This window comes from Homo sapiens, chromosome 7 (genome assembly GCF_000001405.40).
Source record: "Homo sapiens chromosome 7, GRCh38.p14 Primary Assembly".
NCBI lineage: Eukaryota > Metazoa > Chordata > Mammalia > Primates > Hominidae > Homo > Homo sapiens.
In genome coordinates, this window is record NC_000007.14 from 28229214 (window position 1) to 28255944 (window position 26731).

The 26731-nt window shown below is 38.6% G+C and overlaps 1 long non-coding RNA gene across 1 annotated transcript in view; it reads left to right on the top strand.

Moving 5' to 3' along the window:
• JAZF1-AS1 (JAZF1 antisense RNA 1) overlaps window positions 1–12164 on the top strand; it is a 60921-nt gene extending 48757 nt beyond the window's left edge. The window contains exon 4 of the long non-coding RNA NR_034097.1: window positions 11244–12164. This is a non-coding gene — a long non-coding RNA (JAZF1 antisense RNA 1). The remainder of the gene's footprint in view (window positions 1–11243) is intronic.
• The last annotated feature ends 14567 nt before the right edge of the window (window positions 12165–26731 follow it).

The following is a 26731-nucleotide window of genomic DNA, read 5'->3' on the forward strand; positions in this document are numbered from 1 at the left end:
CTCCAACCTGGGAAACAAGAGCAAAACTCTGTCTCAAAAACAAAAACAAAACAAAACAAAAACTCTACTTCAAACTCAGCCATTTAAATTCTTGTGCACACCTTTCTGGTTTTATACACGGATATAGCCATAATTTACTAAAATATATTTATATTAAATAATTATTAATATGATTATATCTACTTTTGACATAATAAAATATATCTGTACTTAAAAAAATAGAAATATACTTATGTTTCTATCTATATTCTTTTCTATGTTTCTATACCATCTTAATATTTATAATTTTCAAATTAAGAAACTTCTTATCCTGGTTCCATATAGTGGAATATTTATGTTGTATCAAATCCTTTTGCCATTATAAATGAAATGGCTGTAAATATCTTGATAGCAGGTCTTGAAAGAAATTCTGTAGAATTAGCTTGGAGAAATTGTGTTCTGGGCATCAGGAGTGTGAGAATTTTAATGTAACACCCTTCCCTATATATAGTAGGCCATCATTAAATATTTGTTACATGAATGGACCTCATCAAATATATTAAATTGAAAAGTAATGGCAAAAACCGCAATTACTTTTGCATCAACCTAATACTTTATGGCAGGTAATATTTACGGCTCTTACAAGTCAGAGAAACTAGGATAAGAGAAAGTTCCAAAGAATCTTAGGGAAGAAAGCAAATCTTTCATAGACTAAGGTCCAAGAGTGTCAGTAGCTTGACTCAGGCCCTGCTTGTGAGAAGGGTGTGTTTAGAAGTCTCATCTTCCCCCTTTCCATTGAATTTTCTTTGCACTGCACAAGCTGCGCTTCTCAGGGAGCTCAACAGAACTTGCAAAGGCCCTGAGGGAATGCAGTGTGTTCCTGACTCTGCTTAATTTGTTAATTTTTGTGTTCTTTTTCTTCCAAAACGATTTTAGGCAGGTTATATAAGGACATCAAATACAGTGGAATAACACCAAAATTAAAACAAAAAAAAAAATCAAGTCAAAGAGGAAGTATAAACAACAAAATAAAGTTGTCCCCAAAATGTGTACCTAGGGTCATATGGAGTTGGAAAAGATGTGACACAATTGGACTCTGAACTTCCTCAAGGCCAGAGGAAGGCAGGACATAAAAAACAGCACCTGATCCATAGCGTCTGCAAGACAAAAACCAGTTACCTAAGGGAAGAACAGCACTCTTTGTCAGTGAGTCCGTGTCTGTCCCTGAATGCCAAGATATTGCTAAGTTACACTTTGACCTCTACTGCGGAGCTTTCAAGCTTCGCTGTTGTGACAAGTGCTGCCACTGACATCGGCTGGTTTCATAACGCCTGGCCCCACGAGTGCTTCATGCTAGATGGCTGAATTTTGATGACCACCATGAGGAGGGTAGAAATACAGCCTTGATGAGAGAATTTATGTGTAAATACCTGAGAGTCTGAAAGTGTATCTCAGATGAACTTGATTAAAAACTTTTCCTATTGTGATTAAGAAAAACACATAAAATTCAATTGATTTTAAATATCTTTTTCAATTAAAAAAGTAATATATAATAGTCTTCTTGTAGAAAATGGAAATTTTAAGGAAGAAAAATATCACTGTAAATCTATAGTGTATAAGGCCAGGCACTGTGGCTCATGCCTGTAATCCCAGCACTTTGGGAGGCAGAGGTAGGCAGATCACTTGAGGCCAGAAGTTCATGACCTGCCTGGCCAACATGGTGAAACCCTGTCTCTACTAAAAATACAAAAATTGGCTGGGCCTGGTGGCAGTCACCTGTAATCCCAGCTACTTGGGAGGCTGAGGCAGGAGAATCATTTGAATCTGGGAGGCGGAGGTTGCAGTGAGCCGAGATTGCGATGCTGCACTCCAGCCTGGGTGACAGAGAGACTCTGTCTCAAAAAAAAAAAAAAAAAAGTACAGTATGTAGAATTTTTCAAGGCTTTGGGTGTATTTCTTTCCACAGTTAGGGTTTTATGTGTGTGTGTGTATACATATAAGTGTGAGTATGTGTATGTGTATATGTATGTGTGTATATATATCTATATTTATATACAGCTATATCCATATATGTAGTGAGAAAGAAAAAGAGAGAGAGACTATCTACAGACAAAGCAAATTGAAAAGAGGTAAGATGAAAAGATTCTTCGAGGCCCTGCAGTGTAACCGCAGGGGGTTTAATAGGGTCTCTTTGGTCTTATCCATGGGTGGAAAGGCAATTAAGGACTCCGAGTCCCTTCATGTGGCTGTCCCTCGGTTTCTCTAAGACTCATAGTTCTCAGTATAATTTTGTAATTTTCCACATATAAACACCACCTATTTCTTGTGGAGTTTAATACTACTATATGTGTTATTTTTTATATTGTGAACAAAAATGTTTGTTCTACTATATTTTTCTCTGGCCATTTCTAATATCTATAGATTTTTATACCTTTTTTTTTTTTGCCTCTGGCTGCTTAACTAAATTCTCTTTTAATAATAATTTTTTTTTTCTTTGTGAAGGTTTCCTTGGAATGAAATATGTCTTGAATATAATAACATTATCTTCTCCTTGTTGATGAGCATGTTTTTAAGACTGTTATCTATAGCATTTATCTCTAAATATGAATAGTATGCCAAAACACTTTTTCTGCTCATTAAACTTTGTGAATCAGTTTTTTCATCAGTAGCTGTTATTTTCATTATCTTTAATGGATCCTTGGTGGGATGAAGGGAAAAATAAGCCAACAAAAAAAATAAGGAAAACTGTCTTTGTCTTTAATCCTTGCCTTTCTGGTCCCACCCTTCTTTCTATTCCACTCCTATGGATCAGTCTCATATCTGCAATATTAGGAAAACAGGAACAGCATGTGTGGAGAACAACAAACGTGTACTCTAGGGATGGCTAAATCTTTCTAAATTGTGTAATATTTTCCAACTTACCAGGATACCTGTTATGATATATAAAATTCTGCCACAATTATAAATAACATGCATTTTTCCTTTATATCAGTACTATATAAGTGGCATGCCTGATAGAAGAAATGGACAATTTTTTTTTTTTTTTGGAGACGGAGTCTGGCTGTCTCACCCAGGCTGGAGTGCAGTGGCGCAATCTCTGCTCACTGCAAGCTCTGCCTCCCGGGTTCACGCCCTTCTCCTGCCTCAGCCTCCTGAGTAGCTGGGATTATAGGTGCTCACAACCACGCCCGGCTAATTTTTTCTTTTTTTTAATATATTTTTAGTAGAGACGGGGTTTCACTGTGTTAGCCAGGATGGTCTTGATCTCCTGACCTCATGATCCGCCCGCCTCGGCCTCCCAAAGTGCTGGGATTACAGGCATGAGTCACTGAGCCCAGACCAGAAATGGACAATATTTTAAAAGCACACATAAAAAAAAATCTAAATTATCCAGAGTTGTCATATCCCAAAATAACCTCTGTCTTACTTCGGTTTCCCCAGAAAGACCCTGGGACAAGGGTTCATGTGCAGATTGTCTTTTGGGAAGTGATCCCAGGGAATGGGAGTGGAGGGCTAGAGAAAGGGAAGCAGGGAAGGAGGGAAAGGCCATTCAAAAGTGTATTATCAAATCGTTCACCACTCTGGGTAACTAAGGCTTAGTCTCACTGTAGAATGAGCTTCAGATTGTCCATTGAAGAGATGGAAGGTCGAGGCTGCAGTGAGCTGTGATCATGCCATGCACTCCAGCCTGGGTGACAGAGTGAGATCCTGTCTCTAAAAAGAGAGAGAGAGAGAGAAAGAGAGAAAGAGAGGGAGAGAGAGAGATAAGAGAGAGATGGAAGAGGTGAATATATTCAATGGTGTGTTGGAACCTGCTTGCCCAGCTTGGCATGGCCTGTTGTGCATATGTCGTGCCAACTTTGTGCTCAGTGACATCAGGTTGGTAGCTTGAAATTGACCACAGTGGGAGTGTTTACACCGTGGAAATTGGTGAAAGCCACATATCAGGGCTATTTTTGTTAGACAGCTGGTTGTTAAAGTTTATTGGCATATCACTTGAAATATTGATCCACTGGCTCCCATCTTCTTTTAGTCAAGGGTCACCCCACAGGGCATGAACTCCCTTGTTCTTCTAAATTTGCACAGACATCAGAAGGCTGAGATGGTTTCTGCAGACAACCCACAGGGCTGAGAGGACCTCCTCCCAGCCGAGGCAATAGGCTGTCAGTTTACACCTGTGTAGCTGCTTTCCACAGCAATGACTGAAGTAAAATGGACGGCTGAGGGGCTGTAAGGCCCCAGAGATGTCTAATCCAAGCAGTATTAATGTTTTGGCAGTTTTCATGGACATGTGCATGCACACATATAAAAACACACAGTTTTAAACTTACTAAAATGGCATCATACCAACTATACTTTGTCTCCTTCTCAGCTTTTTATGTTTACTTAACAATAAATGGTGAACATTTTCCATGTAAACAAATGCTACTTTAGTGGTTGCAAAGTATTAGATATACCATAGAGTATTTTCTAATCTTCCACTGTTGCACACCTAGGTCTGTTTTCAATTTCATGCTATTACAAATAGGGCCATGATGTACATATTTGTATATATATCTTTATACCTCTGATAAATTCCTTGAAGTAGAATTACTGGGTCAGAGGGCATGCCTATTTCTAAGACTTTCGAACAGATTGCCTAGCCTAGAATATGTGTATCAACAAAGCCCACACCTTATGATCTTTCGAAGTCTTTTCTAGCCTGCCTGCCTGCCTGCCTTCCTTCCTTCCTTCCTTCCTTCCTTCCTTCCTTCCTTTCTTCCTTCCTCCATTCCTTCCCTCCTTCTCTCCTTCCCTCCCTCCCTCCCTTCTTTCCTTCCTTCCTTCCTTCCTTCCTTCCTTCCTCTTTTCTTTCTTTTCCTTTCTCTCTCTCTCTTTCTTCCTTTCTTTCCTTTTTTTCAGACAAGTTCTCATTCTCTCACTCAGGCTGGAGTGCAGTGGGGCGAACACAGCTCACTGCAGCCTCCACCTGCCAGGCTCAAGTGATCCTCCCACCTCGCCCTTATGAGTAGCTGGGACTACAGGTGCACGCCACCATGCCTGGCTAATTTCTTGTATTTTTTGTAGAGATAGGGATCTCACAATGTTGCCCAAGGTGGTCTCTAACTTCTGGGCTCAATCTGCCCACCTCAGCCTCCCAAAGTGCTGGGATTACAGGCATGAGCCACCATGCCTGGCCTTTAACTTTATTATTCTATAATTCTCTCATTCCAATGCCGAAGTATCAACGATTCCTGTAAGACTAGCATGAACCACAATAAGTAAATAGATTGCTTATGACTCCGTATCCAATAGCCCTGAATAGTACATACTTAGAAAACAAAACAAAGCTACTTTACTTTAATATCTCTACCCAAAGAAATAATGTTTTTCCATATTTATAATTCATATAAACAAAACAAACTTGCAGCACTCTAAAAATTGAGTTCTTTAGACTTTAAAACTTAAGGCATTTCTATAACTGCTATTAATCACCAGTCTTAAATATATTATCCTCATGTCTTCAGACTCAAGAAGGCTTTTGTCTATAAGTCCATTCTACATAGCTATTTTATTTGGAAGAGAGCATAACGCAGATGACAAATGATTCATTGTTTCTGGAGCAAAGCAATATTATTCCAGAACAAAAGGAAAGAGAAAAATAGTAACAAACATTGTGATATTTTTGAATTTGGATTGATTTGATCCTTCAACACTGTTCTAAACTATCATATTTCTATTTGATTACTTTTTTTCCTAGTCATATCTTTAACGACAAAAAAATAATGTTTGAAATCTTGCATATGTGCTCGGGTATTTAGTAACTTAAGACATTCGTACTGCATTGAATTCTATCGCACGCAAGAAATTAGAAAACACAAAATCAGTGTAACAAAGCCAACATGGGATTTCTGAAAGGCTTTAATTCAACATTTGTCACAAATGTTGACTAATCACCTTCTCTGGTCTCGTTGTAGTGCTAGGCACCAGAGATAATGCAGTGAACCAGACAGACACCATCCCTAGCCTCATAGAGCTTGCAATTAAAAACCATACTCCAATGGAAATAAGGAAAGAAAGAGGCAAATGCCCAGACCTCTACTTGCTCTTCTGGTCTTCCATTGCCTTCTCAGCTGTTAAACCAACTCTTTGTGTCATTTCCTTTTTGAACAATGAAGGGCCTGCTACTGGCCTAACTTATAAGGAAAAGCTCATAAAATTGATTTGCCAGATTGACTCACAACCCAAATGCATCTCATTTTTATGGCATAAAACGAAGATGTAGTGTGAATAACAAACATACTTACTTTAATGGATGTTAATTGTATTCTTAGTCCCTCTCCAGGCAATTAATATTTTCCCTTGCCATTTTATACATAAAGATCCTCTGAAAAACTCAGCTAAGGGCATAACAGGACTGTTGTCAGTGACCATGGATCCTAAAAGATCCATATAGGCTCCCAGGGCAAGCTGGTCATGGGTAAAACTGTGAAGGTAACGGTCGCTGATCATTGTTGCCTCTCCCTGGAGTGACGAGATATCTCCTTCCCACCCTCTGCATCCAGCATCTCATACTTGTGCCATCCTTTCCTTGTTAAAAGGTTTTCAGGAACTGATCAAGTATTAATGTCCAAAGAATAATAAAACGTGAATTTTAGCGAAAGTCAAAAGGGTGAATTTAGCAGAAAACAAATCTTTAAATCAAAGGGATAGCTCTACATATGTAATTTAAGGTATTAATTAGCATATAGAATATATCTGGGCAGGAGAAAAGTCCAGATATAAAATAACTCTAGAACAAAAATAAGAGAAAACTAGTTAAACATTGGTGGGTGGATGACAGGCATCTGGGTGTAGTAGGGAAAGCCCAAACTCTGGATGAAAGAACATACCTGGGTTCAAATTATTCCTGAGCCTCAGTTTCTCCAACTACAAAGTGGGAACAATGACATCTATAAGATTTTTTCTATTTATGGGATTAAATATGATAATGTATGTAAAGTACATGGACCACATGAGCTTATGCCATCATGAAGTCAGACCACAAAAGTGCTTGCAAATTCTGCATATGCGCACTTCCTGAATGCATTTTCCTATCCGTAAAATGAGGTACAACAGGATTTTCAGCTGAGTCTGAACCCCAATAATTTGGAATACCGATGGAAAATCATGGAAGGGAGAGTGGGAAAAGCAGACTTTGTTTTGTTTTTGTTTTTGTTTTTGTTTTTGAGACAGGATCTCCCTCTGTCACCCAGGCTGGAGTGCAGTGGTGCCCTTTTGGCTCACTGCAACCTCCGTTTCCCAGGCTCAACCGATTCTCATGCTTCAGCCTCCCGAGTGTCTGGGACTACAGGAATGCACCACCACCCCGGCTAATTTTTGTATTTTTTGTAGAGATGGGGTTTCACCATGTTGACCAGGCTGGTCTCAAACTCATGAGCTCAAGTGATCCACCCGCCTTGGCCTCCCACAGTGCTGGGATTATAGATGTGAGCCACCGGGCCGGCAAAAGCAGACTTTTTTTTAAACTTCAGTTTGTTTTTCTAGAGCAAAACAGTGGGGTCTTTAGTTTGCATTAGAATTACTCAAGAAACTCCTCCCCACCTTTAAATGTTCATTTATTTATCACAATGAACAGGAAACATGTAAGCCAGGTAGCTTTTTCCTCAGGAAATTTGTTTTTAAATGCACATTCTGGGGCCCATTCCTATGAAATTCTGATTCAGAAGATCTTTGGGAATCTGCATTTTTAAAAAGTTCCATAGGTCATTCCGAGGCAGGGCAGCTGTGGGCAAACTTGGAGAAACAGGGCTGGAGAGAGAGTGCCTTGATTTCCACTTTGAGAACACAGTGTTTGAGAGTCTCTTTAATGTGGTATTTGGTAATGTAAATGGAAAGCAAAACTCCTTTCCAAAGTGGAAGGATTTAAGACAATGAACAACTAAATTGATTGGCAAAGTAAAGTAAAGGCCGTTTTCATTGTGAAGTGAAATCTTGGCAATGTGTTTCTTTAAGGAAATGCTTCTTGTTCTTAATATAGATTTGGGCTGCTACGAATCTGGATATTCTTTTGGTTCCCAAAGAACCAAATCATTACGCCAGGAGGGCTAGAGCTGAGGTGGGCATGAACAAAGGATGAAGGAGTCTAGTTTCTCTTTGCTAATGTGAACGGAACACAGAGGTGGGCCTGGTAGTTCCAGAGCCCAGCACCTTCAGTTCTGTGCGCAGTTCCCTCTTGGTGTTTTTTTATACCAGATGTTTCAAAATGTGAAAAAGATGCTACTGTCAGCTTGAATTCGGATGCCTTGTCCTTTTCGCAATAGGAGGTGGGGCCTTCCTGAATGTCAGGGCTTCCTGGGTGGTTGGCCATCCTGGAAGGCAGAAGTTTGTGAGCAGTGAAGTTTTCCTTCAAACATTGGTTGGGGCCTGGGCTCTGGGAGAAGACAACTGGTCTAGGGGCTCTTGCTGGGGAAGGCGCTGGCCACTGCAAAGTGGTGGGCGCAGGCCAGGGATGAAGGAGAAAGTGCTAGTAGGCCACTTTCCTCTGGAAGGGCTCCTCTTATGATTCTGCTGGCAGTCACATCCAGTGTGAAGGTCTTTGTTATTCTTTGATCTTTTATTCTTTTTTGTTATTTCCAATCCTTCAGTAAAGTTGGGCACTTGAACAGATTTTTCAGTTCCACAAATTGAAGAGCACCTCCCATATTCTAGGATACTGAAGTTAGCATGGCAGACAAGTGTCCTATCTTTATGGGCTTTCTAACTTTAGATCCTGAGGTCTGAAGGGAATTAAGGAATGAGCTGGCATCCAAAATTGGACTGGGTTGTATGAGGTGAGCTACACAAAGGGTCCGCACTCCTGCTGTGGACCTGGCGGAGTTTGCCTGGAGCGACACAGATCTGACTACTCAATCCACCTTGAGGTTACCACTGATGGTCTGTTATCCTTCTCCCCTATAGAAAATCCTTTTAAATTTGGATTAAAGATTTATAGAGCTTTACTAATGTCTTCAAAGAACGGGCATATGCAGTTTGAACTCTATCACAGAAGCAATTCAGTTCTTTGCAACTAAAAACATTGGCTTCTACTTGAAGTATAAGTAAAAACTGCCTGATTGACTTGATGAAAATGAGAATTGTTTGTAATTAGCAATCACTTGATTGGCATCCAAATAGCAGCCTGTTTGCTCTCTTGAAGCATGCTCAAATCACTCACCATCTTACTTTAAGAAAAATTTCTTTCAATTACAGATGTAATGTATGCTCCTATTGAAAATTTAGAAAATAAAAATGAAGAGAAGGAAAAAAAAGATTATCAATAGTTTCACTTACATATACATTGTGATTTATTTTCTTCTTCTGACATACAAACAGTTGCCACTTTATGAAGGTTTGACCTACAATTTTTCACTTTTTGTACATTGGTACAAAAATGAAATGCATTTAGTAGAAACCATACTCCAAGTATCCACCCAACAATTCTCAGTACAGTATTTAATATATTACATGAGATATTCTACACTTTATTATAAAATAGGCTTTGTGTTAGATGATTTTGCCCAACTGTAGGCTAACGTAAATATTCTGGACATGTTTAAGGGAGACAAGTTTAAACTATGATGTTCTGGAGGTTAGGTGTATTAAATGCATCTTCACCTTATGATATTTTCAACTTAAGAATGAGTTTATTGGGACGTAGCCCCATCGTAAATTGAGAAGCATCTGTATTGATTTTTAAACAGTTGCAATTTCATGGTATATGTGCAATTGCATAGGCTGGTTTCTTAAAAATCTGTTTTTAAAATATCTGCTAACTATATAAAGCAGGAAAAATATCACTTAGAAGTCTACCTCCCAGAGGCTGGGCACGGTGGCTCACACCTATAATCCCAACAATTTGGGAGGCCGAGGTGGGTGGATTACCTGAGGTCAGGAGTTCAAGACCAGCCTGGCCAACATGGTGAAACCCCACCTCTACTAAAAATAAAAAAATTAGCTAGGCATGGTGGCACACCCCTATAATCCCAGCTACTCGGGAGGCTGAGGCAGGAGAATTGCTTGAGCCGGGGAGGCAGAGGTTGCAGTGAGTCAAGATCGTGCCACTGCACTCCAGCCTGGCCAATAGAGAGAGACTCTGTCTCAAATAAATAAATAAATAAATAAATAAATAAATAAATAAATAAATAAATAAATAAATAAAAAGTCTACCTCCCAGAGAAACTATCCCTTCCTTCCTTTAACATCTGGGTGCATTTTCTTATAATTCCTTTTTTTTAAACACATAGTTGTGTTTATGCTGGATTAAAGTTTTGTTAATATGCACAGATCTTGTAAGAAAGAGTTTCAAGAGGCTCAGTTGCAGATCATATCTGTTATTGGTGGTTTAGTAGTCTTTCCCAATTAAACCTCAATGACTCAGGACTCTCAGTATGACTTTTAAAGGTGCAGAAAGCCATCACTTATGTTCCATGGCAGAAAAAAAAGGACGATTATGTTGCACTATGTCATTCTACTTTTGTGCAGGGAAAATACCTTTTGAAAGTAATTCTCCTGGTTCAGTTTCTTAACAGTGTGACCCACATAGCCAATGTTAGCAAGCACTGGAAGAGAACACTATTAATTACAGCTTTAAGTGGCCACTAAACATGCAGAAGATTTCCTCTGAACTGAGAGTTGAAGGATATGGTGCAACAAGCCCATTTCCTGGCACTGGAAAGCGGAGAGAGAGCTGCAGGAGAGGCGGTGGTGAAGGAAGCAGTGCAGGGCCATGCGTGGCCCCCGACGTGGGCATTCGGCTGGAGCTCTTGATTCTAGGTCCCAGCCTGAGTACACGAGGATTCCTCTGGCCTGTTAGCTACAACTTCCTCTTCTGGAGGTCTTACTTGTCATCTATGTCTTGGTCGTCTGCATATATTTTCTAGAAATTTCCTCAAGGTACTGTGATGATTCACTTTCTGAGATGTCACAAACTTGAGAATGACTTACTATTGTCTTCGTATATGTGTGTGTGTGCATACACACACACACACATACATATGCATGCATTCTGGTGTCATGACCCTTTCCCTAAAGTCTTTATTGTCTTCTGAAACTTACTATTATAGATGTCAAGACTGAGCAAAACCTGATTTGCATCCTTTTATAGAACCTTTTGTTCTTCTTATTTTAATTTTTAGTTTAATAATTTTTCTAGAATATATATATTGTGGATACTTGTTTTGTAAACCCCTCAACTATACTTACTTTCTGTGTGATCCAGTTTGTTTTCCCCCTTTCTCTTGCAGCCCTTCTACCGTGAAGGTGAGCCGTGAAGTCTATTGCCCAGGGATTGGGGACGTTTGTATTAAAGAAGGTTTTGGAGTACAGAAGCAGGAAGATGTGTTGTGGAGATGCTGTTGGCAGAAACAACTGGCCTTGACTAAACAAACCAAGAGTTCCTACAGGAGCAGAGGCAACCGGGTGAAGGCTGACGCCCTTGCACAGGCTTGGGCAGCTCTTCTCCACATGTCCACGTGGCTCACTTCCTTACCTACTTCAGGGCTCTGCTCACACGTCACCTCCTCAAGAAGGCCTTCCCCAACTACCCTGTCCTCACTCCCACCCCTTACCCCTGCATTCCCTGTCCCTCTCACTCTGCTGTGGTTTATCCTACCTGACATAGAACAGGTTTATCTCCCTGTTGTCTAGCAGGCTTTTATCCAGTTCTGCTTTGCCGGACTGTATTAAGTAAGTCTCAGTTCCTGGGCTTTATCACTCAGCATGGGTGGAACACACGAAAATGGGATTTTCCTGTTCCCACTACAGCACTTTTCTTGTGGATACCACATCTCCCCATGTGCAATATTCTATTCCCATCTCACTCTTACCTTGTGCAGAGCTATTTTCTCAGAGCATGAGTCTCTGAACGGAAAATCTACTGCTTTGTGCCCTGCCTGAGGATAAGCTTCACCAGAGCAGTCTATATTGTTGTTGCTGTTGTTGTTGTTTATTGCTGTATTCCTAGCTTCTAGAACAGTGCCTGGCATGGCAATCAGTGGCATGAGTAAATTTATGAGTATATATAATGGACAAGTTTGGGAGAAGATAATTAGTTTGGAAACGGGAGAGTTTAGTGGGAGAGACAGGGCCCTGACTACCTCAAAAAGCAGCAGTACTATAAGAGGACAGAGTTTCTATTTTTCTGCCTGGTCTAGGACTTGTACTGGTCTTTCAACTTGAATTCATGCAGCAAGACAGTGGTGGTGAAAAGATAAAGGCATTTCTACCTGGGTAGACAGTTTCTTTTTCTGGAGACAAGAATTGAGAAGGCCTACCAGATTCTGGCAGTGAGTTGACTGTACTTGTTTTTAGCATTGTGAATTTTTGCCTTCATATGAATTTAAGTAGGGAGTTTAGCAATGCTGTTTCAGGGTTTCCATCCAGATTTTCCGTTTCAAATTGGACATCTATTTGCACCTTTAATTCGCGTAACAAATACTTCACAGAGAATACAAAGTTGAATTATGGGCAGCTCAATTCATCCCCCCAAAGGCAGACAAGAGATGGCAGGTCCAAGTTATGCCTATATTACACAGTAGAGATTATTTTAAGTGTTTTGTTATTGCTTCCAAGTTCACACAAATGCTTCTTACTAATTTATATTGGTCACATTCACTATTCTTATTTGGTACTCATTAGTGACTTTGTACTCTCTTAAAGAAAATAAACCTCCAGATTAACTAAAACATTTAAATATGAATTGTACATAGGCTTTATTCATTTATAAAATGCAAAGAAATTAAGATTAAAAGGAAAACCACATCAAAACCCAGAGACATAAATAAAATGCATTTAAATGGCTCTTTGGTAGTTTATTGATGCTGAGATAGTTTTTTTCTCCCCTTGAAAATATATAAAATTTTCTTTTCATCTTCCCTGAAGCATATCCAAATAAGTTAGTGACTACATAATTAATATCCAGGTATTTTGTGATATTTGGATAATAGGCTTCAACTTCTTCTAAACTTATTTTATATTTCAGACCACACATTTGCCGTTTGTTGATAATGTTTTTGGTTGCAGCCTGAGATATTTCCAGGTCTAAAGCCAGGTTCACATTTTGCTTTGAAGAGACAGAAATTCCAAACAAATACAGATAGTCAGGCCATAAACTTAATTAAAATTTCTGCTTTACTGGATGTTACATTAAATATGGCCATAATGCCAAGAGAAATACTTGAAAAATCCATTTGCATCCACATACTGCTGCTTCCACATAGAATAAAATAACAAAATGCTAAGAAGTACATGTTTGTGTGTATGTGTGTGAGAGCACATTTGTATTAAGCTAGTTCTCTCTTTTGGCTGGGTGGCCATACTAGTCATATTTTGACTAATAAAAGATTTTTTAAAAAAAATTTAAAATTAATTTTTTTTTTTTTTTTTTGAGACCGAGCCTCCCTCTGTCACCCAGGCTGGAGTGCAGTGGAGTGAACTTGGCTCACTGCAACCTATGCCTCCTAGGTTCAAGCAATTCTCATGCCTCAGCCTCCTGAGTAGCTGGGATTACAGGCATGCACCACAATGCCCAGCTGATTTTTGTATTTTTAGTAGAGATGGAGTTTCACCATATTGGCCAGGCTGATCTCCAACTCTTGACCTCAGGTGATCTGCCTGCCTTGGCCTCCCAAAGTGCTGGGATTACAGGTGTGAGCCTCGACACCTGGCCTAAAAGATGGGTTTTAATTAAAATCTGGGATTGGCCAGCTCCATATCTGTTAACTTTCCCATATAGTGCTGGAGCACTAATTTAGAGAGCTTTTGAACTACTGTGTGGTTTGTCTGCCTCCTTTTTGTGTAAATCTAGGACATCTTTTTTTTTTCTTTTTCAATTTGCCTGGAATATTTTCTTATTTAGAATTCTATGGAGATCATAACTCATCTCCAGGAGAGTGAACAAGGTCACTCATAGGAAGGTGGAGCATGTCTTTCTTATACAATTGGAAGGGAGGAAGGGACCCAGCCCTGTCATTTACAGGTGAGGACTCTGTGTCCCAGGAGGGCAAGGGAACATGCAGAGTCTGGTGTGGTGAGCACAGGCCAAGCCCTGTGCAGATGGGGCAGTGAGAGCAGAAAGGACGGCTGGGGCCACATTTGACAGGTCTGGTTGACCCTGCAGTAGGACATCATCCAGAATTTCCATTAGATGCCTTAGTCCCAATTCTTCAGAAAGAAGGGCTTGAGAGCAAGCCTATGTATGAAGTCTTTATTGGTGAGTATGATCCCAAAGAGGAGTAGGGTTGTAAACCAGGAAAGACGGGTAAGTCAGCCACTACAGTCAACTGGTTGTTCTGCCCATCAGGACCTTGTGAGGAGCCTAATGAATTGTAGCCTGGGACCCTCTGTCATGGGTTGAATTGTGTTTCTCCAGGATTCATATGGTGAATTCCTAACCCTCAGTATCTGAGAATGTGACAGCATTTGGAGATAGGGCCTGTAAAGAAGTGATTAAGATAAGTGAGCCTGATAGAATGGGCCCTGTTTTAATCTGACTAGTGTCCTTTTAGGAACAGAAAATTTGTACACACACAGAGACATCAAGGATGCATGTTCACAGAGGAAAGGCCAGGTGAGGCCATAGCAGGAAGGCGGTCATCTGCAAGCCAAGAAGAGAGACCTCAGAAGAAACCAACCTGCTGACACCTTGATCTTGGACTCCCAGCCTCCAGAAGTACGATAAAATAAATTTCTGTTGTTTAAGTCACCAGTCTATCGTGCTTTGTTATAGCAACTCTAGCCAACTCATACGTTCTTTGACAGGGAAAAAGAAAGACTTCAAGTTTTGACTCTTAGAGGGCTCGTTGCCTAGCACTCTGGGTTGCATATGCTTGGGTATGAAGAAATTTCCCCTGGAGTCTCATGCATTGAGGTCAACAGAGATGTCCCAGGGCAGGAGATGACAGGAGCACAGCTGGGTGGCAGATGTGAGAAGCAGATTGGAGCCTATGCGGAAGTGGACTGCAGGGGTTGAGAGGTGGGGAGGGGAGACAGGTAAAGCTGGGAGGAGCAAAAGCAGAACTGAAGTGGTGTCTAATACTCAAGGTAATAATGGTATTGATAATAGGGATACTGATACTGGGTGATATTTATTGAGCATATTTTATGTGCCAGACACTGGGCTATGCACTTTACATAAACTATTTCCCTTTCTATCTCACTAACTCTCCAGCAAACACTCTAGGATTTAGGTACCACTCTTATCCCTATTTTACAGACAAAGAAACTGAGGCATAAGGAGTTTCAGGCACTTATCCCAGGGTCATAACAGCTACTAGTCAGTTGCCTCAACTCAAGTGACCTGGCTCCAAATTTTGCATTCTTACTCTGCTTTTTCTTGATGCTGTCATTAAAAAAGTGTTCTAGAAAGATAAATTTGAACAGTTATTTTAATTCATTTTAATTTCATATACAAGTTATTTTTTAAAGAAAATACAAGGTATTCTATGTGCAAGATTATCACAAAAAGATCAATATAATAGAGTGGTTAAGCATTCTGACCATAGAGCCAAGTTCCTAGGTTCAAATCCCAGCTCTACTATCTTCCTGCTATGAGAATTTGGGAAAGTTACTCAACTTTTCTGGGCCTCACTTCAAACCTGTGGATGATAAAAACAGCCCCTACCTCATAGAGTTAGTCCCAGTTTTCCAGAAAGGGAAGGATTAAATTATTTAATATACATAAACTGCTTTTTGTACGTAATGAGTACTAGAGGTTTTTATTAGTATAATCTTTAAAAATAATTTAGCTGGGCACAGTGGTGCAGACCCGTAGTCCTAGTTACTCAGCAGGCTGAGGCAGGAGGATCTCTTGAGCCTAGGAATTTGAGGTATACAGTGAGCTATGATCATACCACTGCACTCCAGCCTGGGCAACAGAGCAAGACTTTGTCTCTAAAAAAGTAATAATAATAAAATAATACATAAATAAATGAGGAAAAATTGACCAGATGTGACTTTCAATAACTCTTACTCATATTAAATTCTTGAATTTTACATGTGGATCTCTGAATTTTTGCAACACTTCAGTTGCCATGTAAGCTAAGGGACACAGTTTTTTTGAAGTACTGGTCACATGTCAGCTGTTAAACATCACGTTACCGGCATCATAAATGAAGTCACCATTTGGCAAATAATTTGTTGGCAGGAGTGGCTCTCACCAACAGGGAAAACGAAAAAACACAAATAAAATCCCTATTGCAATTATTTAACGCATTTCAGACACATGGCTCAGCAATTTTTTCAACTGCAAATCTCTTTTCCTTCCATCTTTGAACTCAGATGGCTGAGCTGTGCGGAGGAATTGAACTGTCCGGTAAATCCATTTATTTATTTATTTATTTATTTATTTATTTTTTCTGTAGCTGTCACTTATCTGCAGGTGACGCTGTTTACCACAGAAAAAGATAAGCACATTAGGGAAACACATGCATGGTCTTTGTCTTAAAAGGCCATAGTTTGTTAACTGATTGCTTTAAGTTAACGTGGGGAACCCGCATGAATGGTTGCAATAGTTGTCCTTATGTCATTTCCTCCCTTTCAAGTGTAGATAGAGCAAGTTTCCTCATCTGAGAAATGAAGGGGGTTGGACCAGATATCCTCCAAGCTCCCTTTTGGCTGTGACATTCTGTGGCTTCAGATTCTCTTCTTCTTGGGCAGGGTTTTTGGTTTTTAGGGCACTGAACCCAAACAGCCCTACCTGCTAATTTCAGTTTGGGCTGCTGTGAAGACAAAAGGCAAGGCCTGACGTTTCAGTAAAGCATTATAACATATAAAGTGGCTTCACATATGCATCCTTTATAAAATCCTCCCAGAAACTTCCAAGGAATTTTGCAGATGAGGAGAATGAGATCCCAGGAGGTCAAGTGACTTGTCCAAGGCCACACAGCTTACAGGAAGCAAGGCCAAGTTTAAAACTCAAGTCCTTTTATCTGTTGGTGCAGTGTTATTTGCAGCATGCCACAGTCCCTCACAATCCAAGGGATAAACCTGATGAGATTATGTGAACTCTTTCAGTTCCTTCAGCCAATCGGCCAGCATTGACTCTACTAGTTCTGATTGGGTCATGTGTATAACTCTGAACCAATCATTGTGGCAAGGGCAGTGTAAAATTTCTGATTGGCCAGACCTAGTCACAACCTTCCCTTGAAACGTGGAGAGGTTCCCTGAAACACAAAGCTAAAAATAGGAGATGAAAAAAAAAAAATTAAGGGCCCTCATCAGACAAGACAGAATAAATGATGCACAGAAAAATAAGAAAATTCGCATTGCCCACAGAGAAAGAATTTCCCCTAAGATACACTTCAAAAAGAAGTTGTTTTAAAATGTTTTATTTTCTATTTTGTCTTAATTGAATTTAATTTTTGCAAAAGCAGTTTTTTTTGAACTGATGTCAAATCGAATACTAACTCAAGGGTGGTTGAGGGAGCACAATGATAAAAGCCCAATCATTTCAAGTACAGGGATTTCTGAAATTCACATCCATTTAGTGCATTTGGGTCCCAGCTCAAATGAGATAGGCTCATTCTTCTTTGGGAAATGAAATAAGGATTTGAACTGCTCTCAATCAGATCAAATCAACAAACATTTCTTGGACACCTTATGTGTAAGGTGCCCAGGATAAAGAGAGGTGGCTGAGCCAGCCACGTTTCCAGCTTTGTTAATTTGACAATACCTTCTAGTTTTCTGTTTCTTGCCTTGTGATCCCCAGATTTTATACCTGTGAGAAATTTTACTTGTTGGGCGTGCATCATTCACATTCCCTTTGGCTTCTAGAAGCTGCTCAAAAGGTTTTTTTTTTTTTTTTAATTGCTTTTGGATTATATTCTGTTGAGCAAAACTTTCCCCGTGGTTGTTATGGCAACTTTCAAATTGCAAGAGTTAGATGTCAGCCCAGAGGTTTGACAAACAGATGACTTCCAGACAGAGGGGCTGATTTAGGAGTTTTGGATGGGGACACAGGGCTTTTACTGTACTCTGAATTAGTTTACATAATTTGCAAATTGTTTTGGTTCAAGTAAGCTAACCTCTGAACCAACCATACAGTGTTCGGTTACATTCCAAGTCCCTACAAGGAACTACTCAATTCATTCATTAATATTCTGTAAGTTTCAACTAGCAGCTAACTAGTTAGCCCATAGATGTGGGGGCAGTGGACGGTGTCTGCATCTTGCCGTTGTTAGCAAGCTGGGTGCGGTTGTGCTTTTGCTTCACATGTCTCCTAACTCGTCCTCAAGTTTTACTGGCTTCCAAAAACACGAATCCATCCCATTACTAAACCTCTGTCCAGAAGCCTGACTCTTACACACTATCTGGGACTACCTGGGACTGTTAGGCTGAATGTGATTGCAAATCATAATTTTCTCAGTGAAAGGAACGTGTTCCTGTTAAATTCAGGGTTGTGGCTTCCCCCTCCCAAACCCCCAACAAAGACTCTTAGTCTACCTTTTCATTGAGAGTCTGTATAGTTATTTTTTGTTTTTATTGTTATTGTTGTTTGTGTTTTCATTAGGACAAAGAGTTATTTGTAGTTCCAGTTCTTGAAACTAAAGTCTATTCCTTTAAATTGTCATGTAAAGGAAATAAAAAAAAAAACTGTTGAGAGGTAATTCACATACCACAAAATTCGCCCATTTTGAATATGTAATTCAATAATTCTTAGCAAATTTACAGAGTTCTATAACCATGATCACAATCCAAATTTAGAACATTTCTAACACCCCAAATAGAAACCCAGTGCCATTTTAATCACTTTCCAGTCCCACCCCAGCCCCAGGCAACCAATAAAGAAGGATGATTTATCCTTAGTCTACTTGGCTTCACTACTAAATCCTCAAAGTCCCTTTTGGGATTCATGAATGACCATCATTCCAGGAAAAAAATAAAGGAAACAAAACCTTTATTACTTTTTTCCTGGTTATAAAAGTAAGACATGCTTATTGTGAAACAAATTCAAAATTTAAAGAAAAATACTTTTAAAATATGTGATTTGTAGCAGAAAAAAAACCATTGTTATATTTTGGCATGAAATATTTCAGGTTTTTAAATCATATTAGAAACAATAAATATTTATAGTGGAAAATTGGGAAAAATACTTAGAAGCACAAATAATTTTAAAAATCACTTAATTTCACTATCCAGAGATAATCTCTATGTATTAGTTAGCTTTTTCAGTGTAACAAATGGCCTCAAAGAGCTCAGTGGCATAAAACAATGAGCAATTATTTCTTGCTTATAGTTCTATGGGTAGGCTTGGGCAGCTCTGTTTCATGCTACAGGCCAATTTTAGGTTTGTTTCACAGATGTCACTTTATTTCTTAAACTCAGTAATTACTTGGAACATGTCTACTCAGAGGATTAGTGGAAATGTGATATTTCTTAAGGCCTGCCATCAGACCTGCCATACTCCATGGCCCAAAACAAGGCACATGGAGAAGTCCAACTTGAATGGGCGGGGAAGCATACTCCTCTCATGGTGATACTGGGGGAAGGGAGCCAGTATTTGCTAAACAGTATATCAGTACCCTGTAAAGATTTTGATGTCTAGTCTTTTCTTTTTTCCCCATATAATATTTGTATAAAAACTTTTTTCTGTTATGAAAATGGGTTCTTTCTAATAAGCACATGAAAAGATGCTCAACATCACTAATATTAGGGAAGTACAAATCAAAACCACAATGAAATACCACTTCACACCCATTAGGATGGCTATTCTCAAAAAAACAGAAAACAACAAGTGTTGGTGAGGATGTGGAGAGACTGGAACTCTTGTGCACTATTGATGAGAATGAAAAAGGGTGCAGTTGCTACAGAAAACAGTATGGCAGTTCCTCACAAAATTAAAACTAGAATTACCATGTGATCCGGCGATTCCACTTCTGTGTGTACACCTAGAAGAACTGAAAGCAAAGACTTGAACAGATGTTTGTACATTAATGTTCATAACAACATTATTCACAATAGCCAAAAGGTAGAAGCAACCCAAGTGTTCACTGACAGACAAATGGATAAACAAAATATGGTATATCCAAACAAGGAAATATTTTTCAGCCTTAAAAAAGAAGGAAATTCTGATGCATGTTACAACATGGATGAACCTTGAGGACGTCATGCAAAATGAAATAAGCCAGTCACAAAAGGACAAATATGAGTTCCCTTATATATAAAGTACCTAGAATAGTTAAATTCATAGACACAGAAAGTAGAACTGTGGTTCCTAGGGGTTGAGGGGAGGGAGAAATGGGAAGTTATTGTTTAGTGGATACGAAGTTTCAGTTTTACAAGATGAGATAAATTCTGGAGATGGGTAGTGGTAAAAGGGGCATAACAATGTGAATGTACCTAGTGCCATTGAACTGTACACATAGAAGTGGTTAAAGTGGTACATTTTATGTTAATTTTATCATGATAAAAATGGTTTCCTTTGCTACATATGGTTTTAATTGCCTTGTTAACATTTCCATGTCAATAAACGTTATTTTGTAGCATTATTTTAATTATTTAATTATTTTTTATTTTTTATTTTTTTTCGAGGCAGAGTTTTGCTCTTGTTGCTCAGGCTGGAGTGCCATGGCACAGTCTCAGCTCAATGCAACCTCTGCCTCATGGGTTCAAGCGATTCTCCTGCCTCAGCCTCCTGAGTAGCTGGGACTACAGGCATGTGCCACCACGCCCGGCTAATTTTGTATTTTTAGTAGAGACGGGGTTTCTCCATGTTGGTCAGGCTGGTCTCGAACTCCCGACCTCAAGTGATGCGTCCACCTTGGCCTCCCAAAGTGCTGGGATTACAGGTGTGAGCCTCCGCGCCCAGCCTGTAGCATTATTTTTAATGATTGCTTATATAGTTTCTCATAATGTAGATATAATTTACTTAATTTCTTATTATGGGCATTTACTTTTTCAATTTTTTTCTATTGTAAATAATACACTTTTGTTCCCACCTCTGATTACATTCTTTAGATAATTTTCCAGAAATGGAATTTTGAGGTCAGTGGTTATGAACACTTAAAAATATTTAAAAATCTGGATTCTCACTTCTTCAATTACTTGCCACCATGGCATGTTACTATCTTAAAAACCTTTTTTTTTTCACATGAAAAATGCTATTCCGTAGATATTTTAATTTGGATTTCAAAGATTAGTGATGAAGTTGAATGTATTTCGACATGGCTTTTCTTTTTCTCTTCCCCTACCCACCCCCCGACCCCCATCTCTTCATTTTTTTTCTGTGTGTCAATTGCCTGCCCATGACATTTGCTCAGTGTTCTGTTGGGACAGACACACACTAAGGGCAGGACAATGGCATCAGCCTACCCTGGGTACAGGCCATATGGGGGTATATTGCCTGTAGACAATTTAAAACCAGTAATGAAACCTGTTAAAGGTCAACCTACACCAGCTTTCTAAACAATGTAAATGATAAAATACTCCACCCAGTCCTCTCTTTTCTTTTCTTAATGGTCTATACATTCTTTATATATTATAGTCATTAAACCTTTGTCTGACATTCATGATATCTGCCCTTTCATTTTGTGGATAGCTTTTAAATTGCTTTGAGTAAGTGATTCATTCACATGTTTAAAATTCAAAAAGTACGAAAGGGTCATCAGGGAAAAGTATCCCTCTCATCCCAGCTACCTAATTCTCCTCTTTTCGGACACCATAGTGATTAACTTCCTATACATCCTGCCAAAAAAGAATTTATGCATAAATATTTCTCCTCTTTTAATCAAGTAGGAGCATACTATAATAATTTCAGTGCCTTGCTTTTTTTTTTCACTTTGTAATAGAGATCGTTTTATATCACTACCTTAATAGCATCCATTTCCAGTGCCCTGAAAAGTTAGATTTGTGCCTACTGCCAATGATGGAGGGACACTGCTTCAGCATGCAAGGAGGAGGTGAGGGGTAGAAGTACTTAGAAGACAAGACAAATTAACTCGCCAAATCATTCTCAGCATGAATGCAAAAAAAATCTTGCATAATGAAGGATTGCCTCCAGTACCACCAAGCATCCATTTTCTTGCTTTTCTTAACCTTGGAAATTGAGGTTCCAGAAATCCTCATAACTTTGTGTGGTGTTTGTAACAGTTGCATGTTTTAGTATCAAACAATTCATATATATGTGTGAAGTGTGATATCTAATATTTATGTGGGCAATGGATGACTATTAAACACTTGAATTGCAAAAAAACCACTTATTTCTATAAAAGTATGTAATAAGCTTTTACTAAGTTTTCAAAAAAAAAATGAAATATGCTTTCAGCTTTATTAAATACTTTTCATTTAACCCTATATAAAACTTTGATTTTTGTTAATAATAAATTGCATTTGCCTTTTAATAGATTATTTTTAATATTTAGAATAAAATATTTTTGGAAAGCATATATAAAAGTAAATTTAAATTTTTTATGTTTATATTTATTTAACTTATTTTTTTGATAAAATATTCAAATTTTGGATATTTTAATACCATTACATTTTATATTTTTAATCTTTTAGATTATTACTTTCTACAGACTGCAATTCATGTGAAATTATTAATTATAACAACCTAGTTAGAGATTAAAGTGAGGGCAACATATATTAATTTTGTCCAAATAAATATATAACTTACAAAACTATGTGTGTCTATTTTATTACAATATCACAGCATAGCAATACAACATTCACATGTGTACAATAATAAGGCCAAACACAATGGCTCACACCTGTAATCTAGCACTCTGGCAGGCCAAGGCAGGCGAATTGCTTGAGCTCAGGAGTTTGAGACCAGCCTGGGCAACATGGTGAAACCCTGTCTCTACAAAAAATACAGAAATTAGCCAGGCATGGTGGCACATGCCTATAGTCCCAGGAGGCTGAGACTGGAGGATCCCTTGAGCCCGGGAAGTTAAGGCTGCAGTAAGCCATAATCATGTTACTGCCACTCCAGCTTAGGTGACAGAACAAGATGCTATCTCAAAAAATAAATAAATAAAAATAAAATTAATCATAAAATTCAGTTGTCTTTGATATTTTTCCAGCTTTCAGTTATCTAAAAATCCTGGTTTGAAAACCATAGCTTTACATGTATCTTACATGCATTTAATACACATTATAAAGGTATATTTGTCAAGATATGAGAATGAAATGTACTTTACGAAGGTTGGTAGTTCAATTCACAAGTTTTAAATGTCTCGACAATAGCATTGGGCTTCTGTGTGTTCTTGAGCTCCAGGCCCTGTAAGTGTGAGGTGAGCTGGCACACACACACTCAGGTTTTCCCACTGAATCCATCCTCAGGTTTGATTACTTGGTTAAGGCTGGTGACCGCTGAATCTCTCCATTGGGAATGTACAGTTTGTCTTTGTACGTGGTCAGTAATTGATGGGGTGAGATTTTGCACCGTGTTTTAGCATCCATTGGCTATCTTTGCCAAACCAGTTATTACCTTGGGGACTAGAAAAGGATGATTTTTTTTTCTAATTCCAGTATTGCTTCTACATGTACTAGATGACATTGTTCTGTAACAAACAAAAAGCTAGCCTTGCCTTTGTACTTTCCCTGCCCTAGGCTTGGAATCACCTGGATCCTCAATGCAATTTAATCTGAAAATTAACGGTCCTGGTTTGAGTGATGTTGAACATTATTTTATTTGTTTAAGGGCCATTTGCTTTTCTTTTCTGGAACAGTTTGTTGATATCCTTTGCCCATTTTCATTACCCTTTAGTTTTTAAAAAGTTTGAAACATACTATCGTGGCAGCCACAAAAATGCACTTTTCAAATCTCCCACTGTGGGTAATGTGACTGACATCGCAGCTACTGCCTTCTGAAAGCACCTCTGAATTCATACCAAGACCATGATTTCCAAGGCTGGTCCTAACTGGTGGCTGGGTATGACAAGAACACTGTCCCTGCAAAATGGGGACTCCTTGATGGGTGATTTTGACTCCTTATGGATCTGGTTGAAACTTTCTTAGAACTGTGCTGCAGTCCAAGGCTCTGACTATCTAATCCTGCTTCCTTCTCCTTCTCCTTCAGAGGTAGCAGACCTGCACCGTGGTCCCTTCCAGGCATTTCCCTAATAAGTCTCTTGCATGTTTAACCCCATTTTGGCATCTGTTTCTTAAAGGACCTGAGCAAACACAACTCCACAAACATAAGAGTGTATAAAACACATATGCACACTTTATATAATAAAAAAATAGATGTGTGAACCTGCCACCTGGGTTAAGAAATAGAAAATAACCTGTAACTCCCTCCTTTCCCCCATCAATTCAAAATTAACCATCGTCCTGAAATTTGTGCTGTTATTCCCTTGCTTTTCGTTATTGTTTAATCACTGATATATGTACTATTAAGTAAAACATTGTTAATTTTGTCTGTTTTGGAACTTTATGCCAATGGGATTATACTTTAGGTATTCTTCTGTGACTTAATTGTATTATTCACTCAACATCCCAGGGCATCAACACAACATTTAGATGTGTGCACTCTAAAGTGCATAACTAAAGTCAATTGACTTTGATATTTGCCCAGTTTTTTCTATTTGATTATTTGTTTTATTCTTTTGTAGTAGTTAATTGTATATTCTTGATATTGATTTTTTTTATAATTACAAGTGTTGGAAATATCTTCTTATCATTTGGGGCTTGACTTTTCACTCTCTTTGTGACTCTTTTGATGTACAGATGAACAGAAGTAATCAAATATATCTACCTTTTCCTATATTGTGTCTTATTTAAGGAATTCTTCCTTACTCTAAGATCTTAAGTCACATCTTCCTGTGTTGGGTATTAAACATTTTTTGTCTTTTATGTTTTAATCTTTAATGTACCTAAAACTGATTTTTAATCTGGTATGAAATAGGAATCAGATTTAATTTTTCTTATTGAGGTGTGATTTACATCTGGTAAGATTCACCTTTTATAGTTCTATGAGTTTTGACAAATGCAGGTGGGTAACCACCACCATCATCAAGATATAGAACCATTTCCTCACCTCATAAAGTCCCCCAGCCTCCTTTGTAATCAACTTCTTCCCCTGACTCAATCCCTGGAAACCACTGCTCTATTTTTGTCTCTATAGTTTTACCTTTTCTATAAGGTCTTATAAATGTCAGATTCATACATATATGGCATTTTGAGTCTTCTTTCACTTTGTAAAATGCATTTGAGATTCATCCACATTGTATGAATCAGTAGTCTGTTCATTCCTTTTTTATCGCTGAATAGTATTTCATTATATGGTTGTAGCACAATTTGATCCATCATTCACTGAAGGATATTTGGGGTGTTTTCAGTTTTTGGTGATTCCCATCGGCAATATAAGAGATTTCCATATCTCTGCATTCACCAGCACTTGGTATTATCGGTGTTTTTTTTTTAAAAAAAACATTCAAATGGGTATGTGCTGGTATCTCATTGTGGTTTCAATTTGTATCTCCCTTAGGATTAATGACATTGAGCATCTTTTCATGTGTTTATTTGCCATTTGCATCTCTTCTTTAATAAAGCATTTTTTAAATTATACTTTAAGTTTTAGGGTACATGTGCACAACGTGCAGGTTTGTTACATATGTATACATGTGCCATGTTGGTGTGCTGCACCCATTAACTCATCATTTAACATTAGGTATATCTCCTAATGCTATCCCTCCCCGCTCCCGCCACCCCACAACAGGCCCCGGTGTGTGATGGTTCCCCTTCCTGTGTCCACGTGTTCTCACTGTTCAAGTCCCGCCTTTGAGTGAAAACATGCGGTGTTTGGTTTTTTGTCCTTGCGATAGTTTGCTGAGAATGATGGTTTCCAGCTTCATCCATGTCCCTACAAAGGACATGAACTCATCATTTTTTATGGCTGCATAGTATTCCATGTTGTATATGTGCTACATTTTCTTAATCCAGTCTATCATTGATGGACATTTGGGTTGGTTCCAAGTCTTTGCTATTGTGAATAGTGCCACAGTAAACATACGTGTGCATGTGTCTTTATAGCAGCATGATTTATAATCCTTTGGGTATATACCCAGTAATGGGATGGCTGGGTCAAATGGTATTTCTAGTTCTAGATCCCTGAGGAATCGCCACACTGACTTCCACAATGGTTGAACTAGTTTACAGTCCCACCAACAGTGTAAAAGTGTTCCTATTTCTCCACATCCTCTCCAGCACCTGTTGTTTTCTGACTTTTTAATGATTGCTATTCTAACTGGTGTGAGATGGTATCTCATTGTGATTTTGATTCGCATTTCTCTGATGGCCAGTGATGATGAGCATTTTTTCATGTGTCTGTTGGCTGCATAAATGTCTTCTTTTGAGAAGTGTCTGTTCATATCCTATGCCAACTTTTTGATGGGGTTGTTTGATTTTTTTCTTGTATATTTGTTTAAGTTCTTTGTAGATTCTGGATATTAGCCCTTTGTCAGATGAGTAGATTGCAAAAATTTTCTCCCATTCTGTAGGTTGCCTGTTCACTCTGATGGTAGTTTCTTTTGCTGTGCAGAAGCTCTTGAGTTTAATTAGATCCCATTTGTCAATTTTGGCCTTTGTTGCCATTGCTTTTGGTGTTTTAGACATGAAGTCCTTGCCCATGCCTATGTCCTGAATGGTATTGCCTAGGTTTTCTTCTAGGGTTTTTATGGTTTTAGGTCTAACATTTAAGTCTTTAATCCATCTTGAATTAATTTTTTGTATCAGGTGTAAGGAAGGGATCCAATTTCAGCTTTCTACATATGGCTAGCCAGTTTTCCCAGCA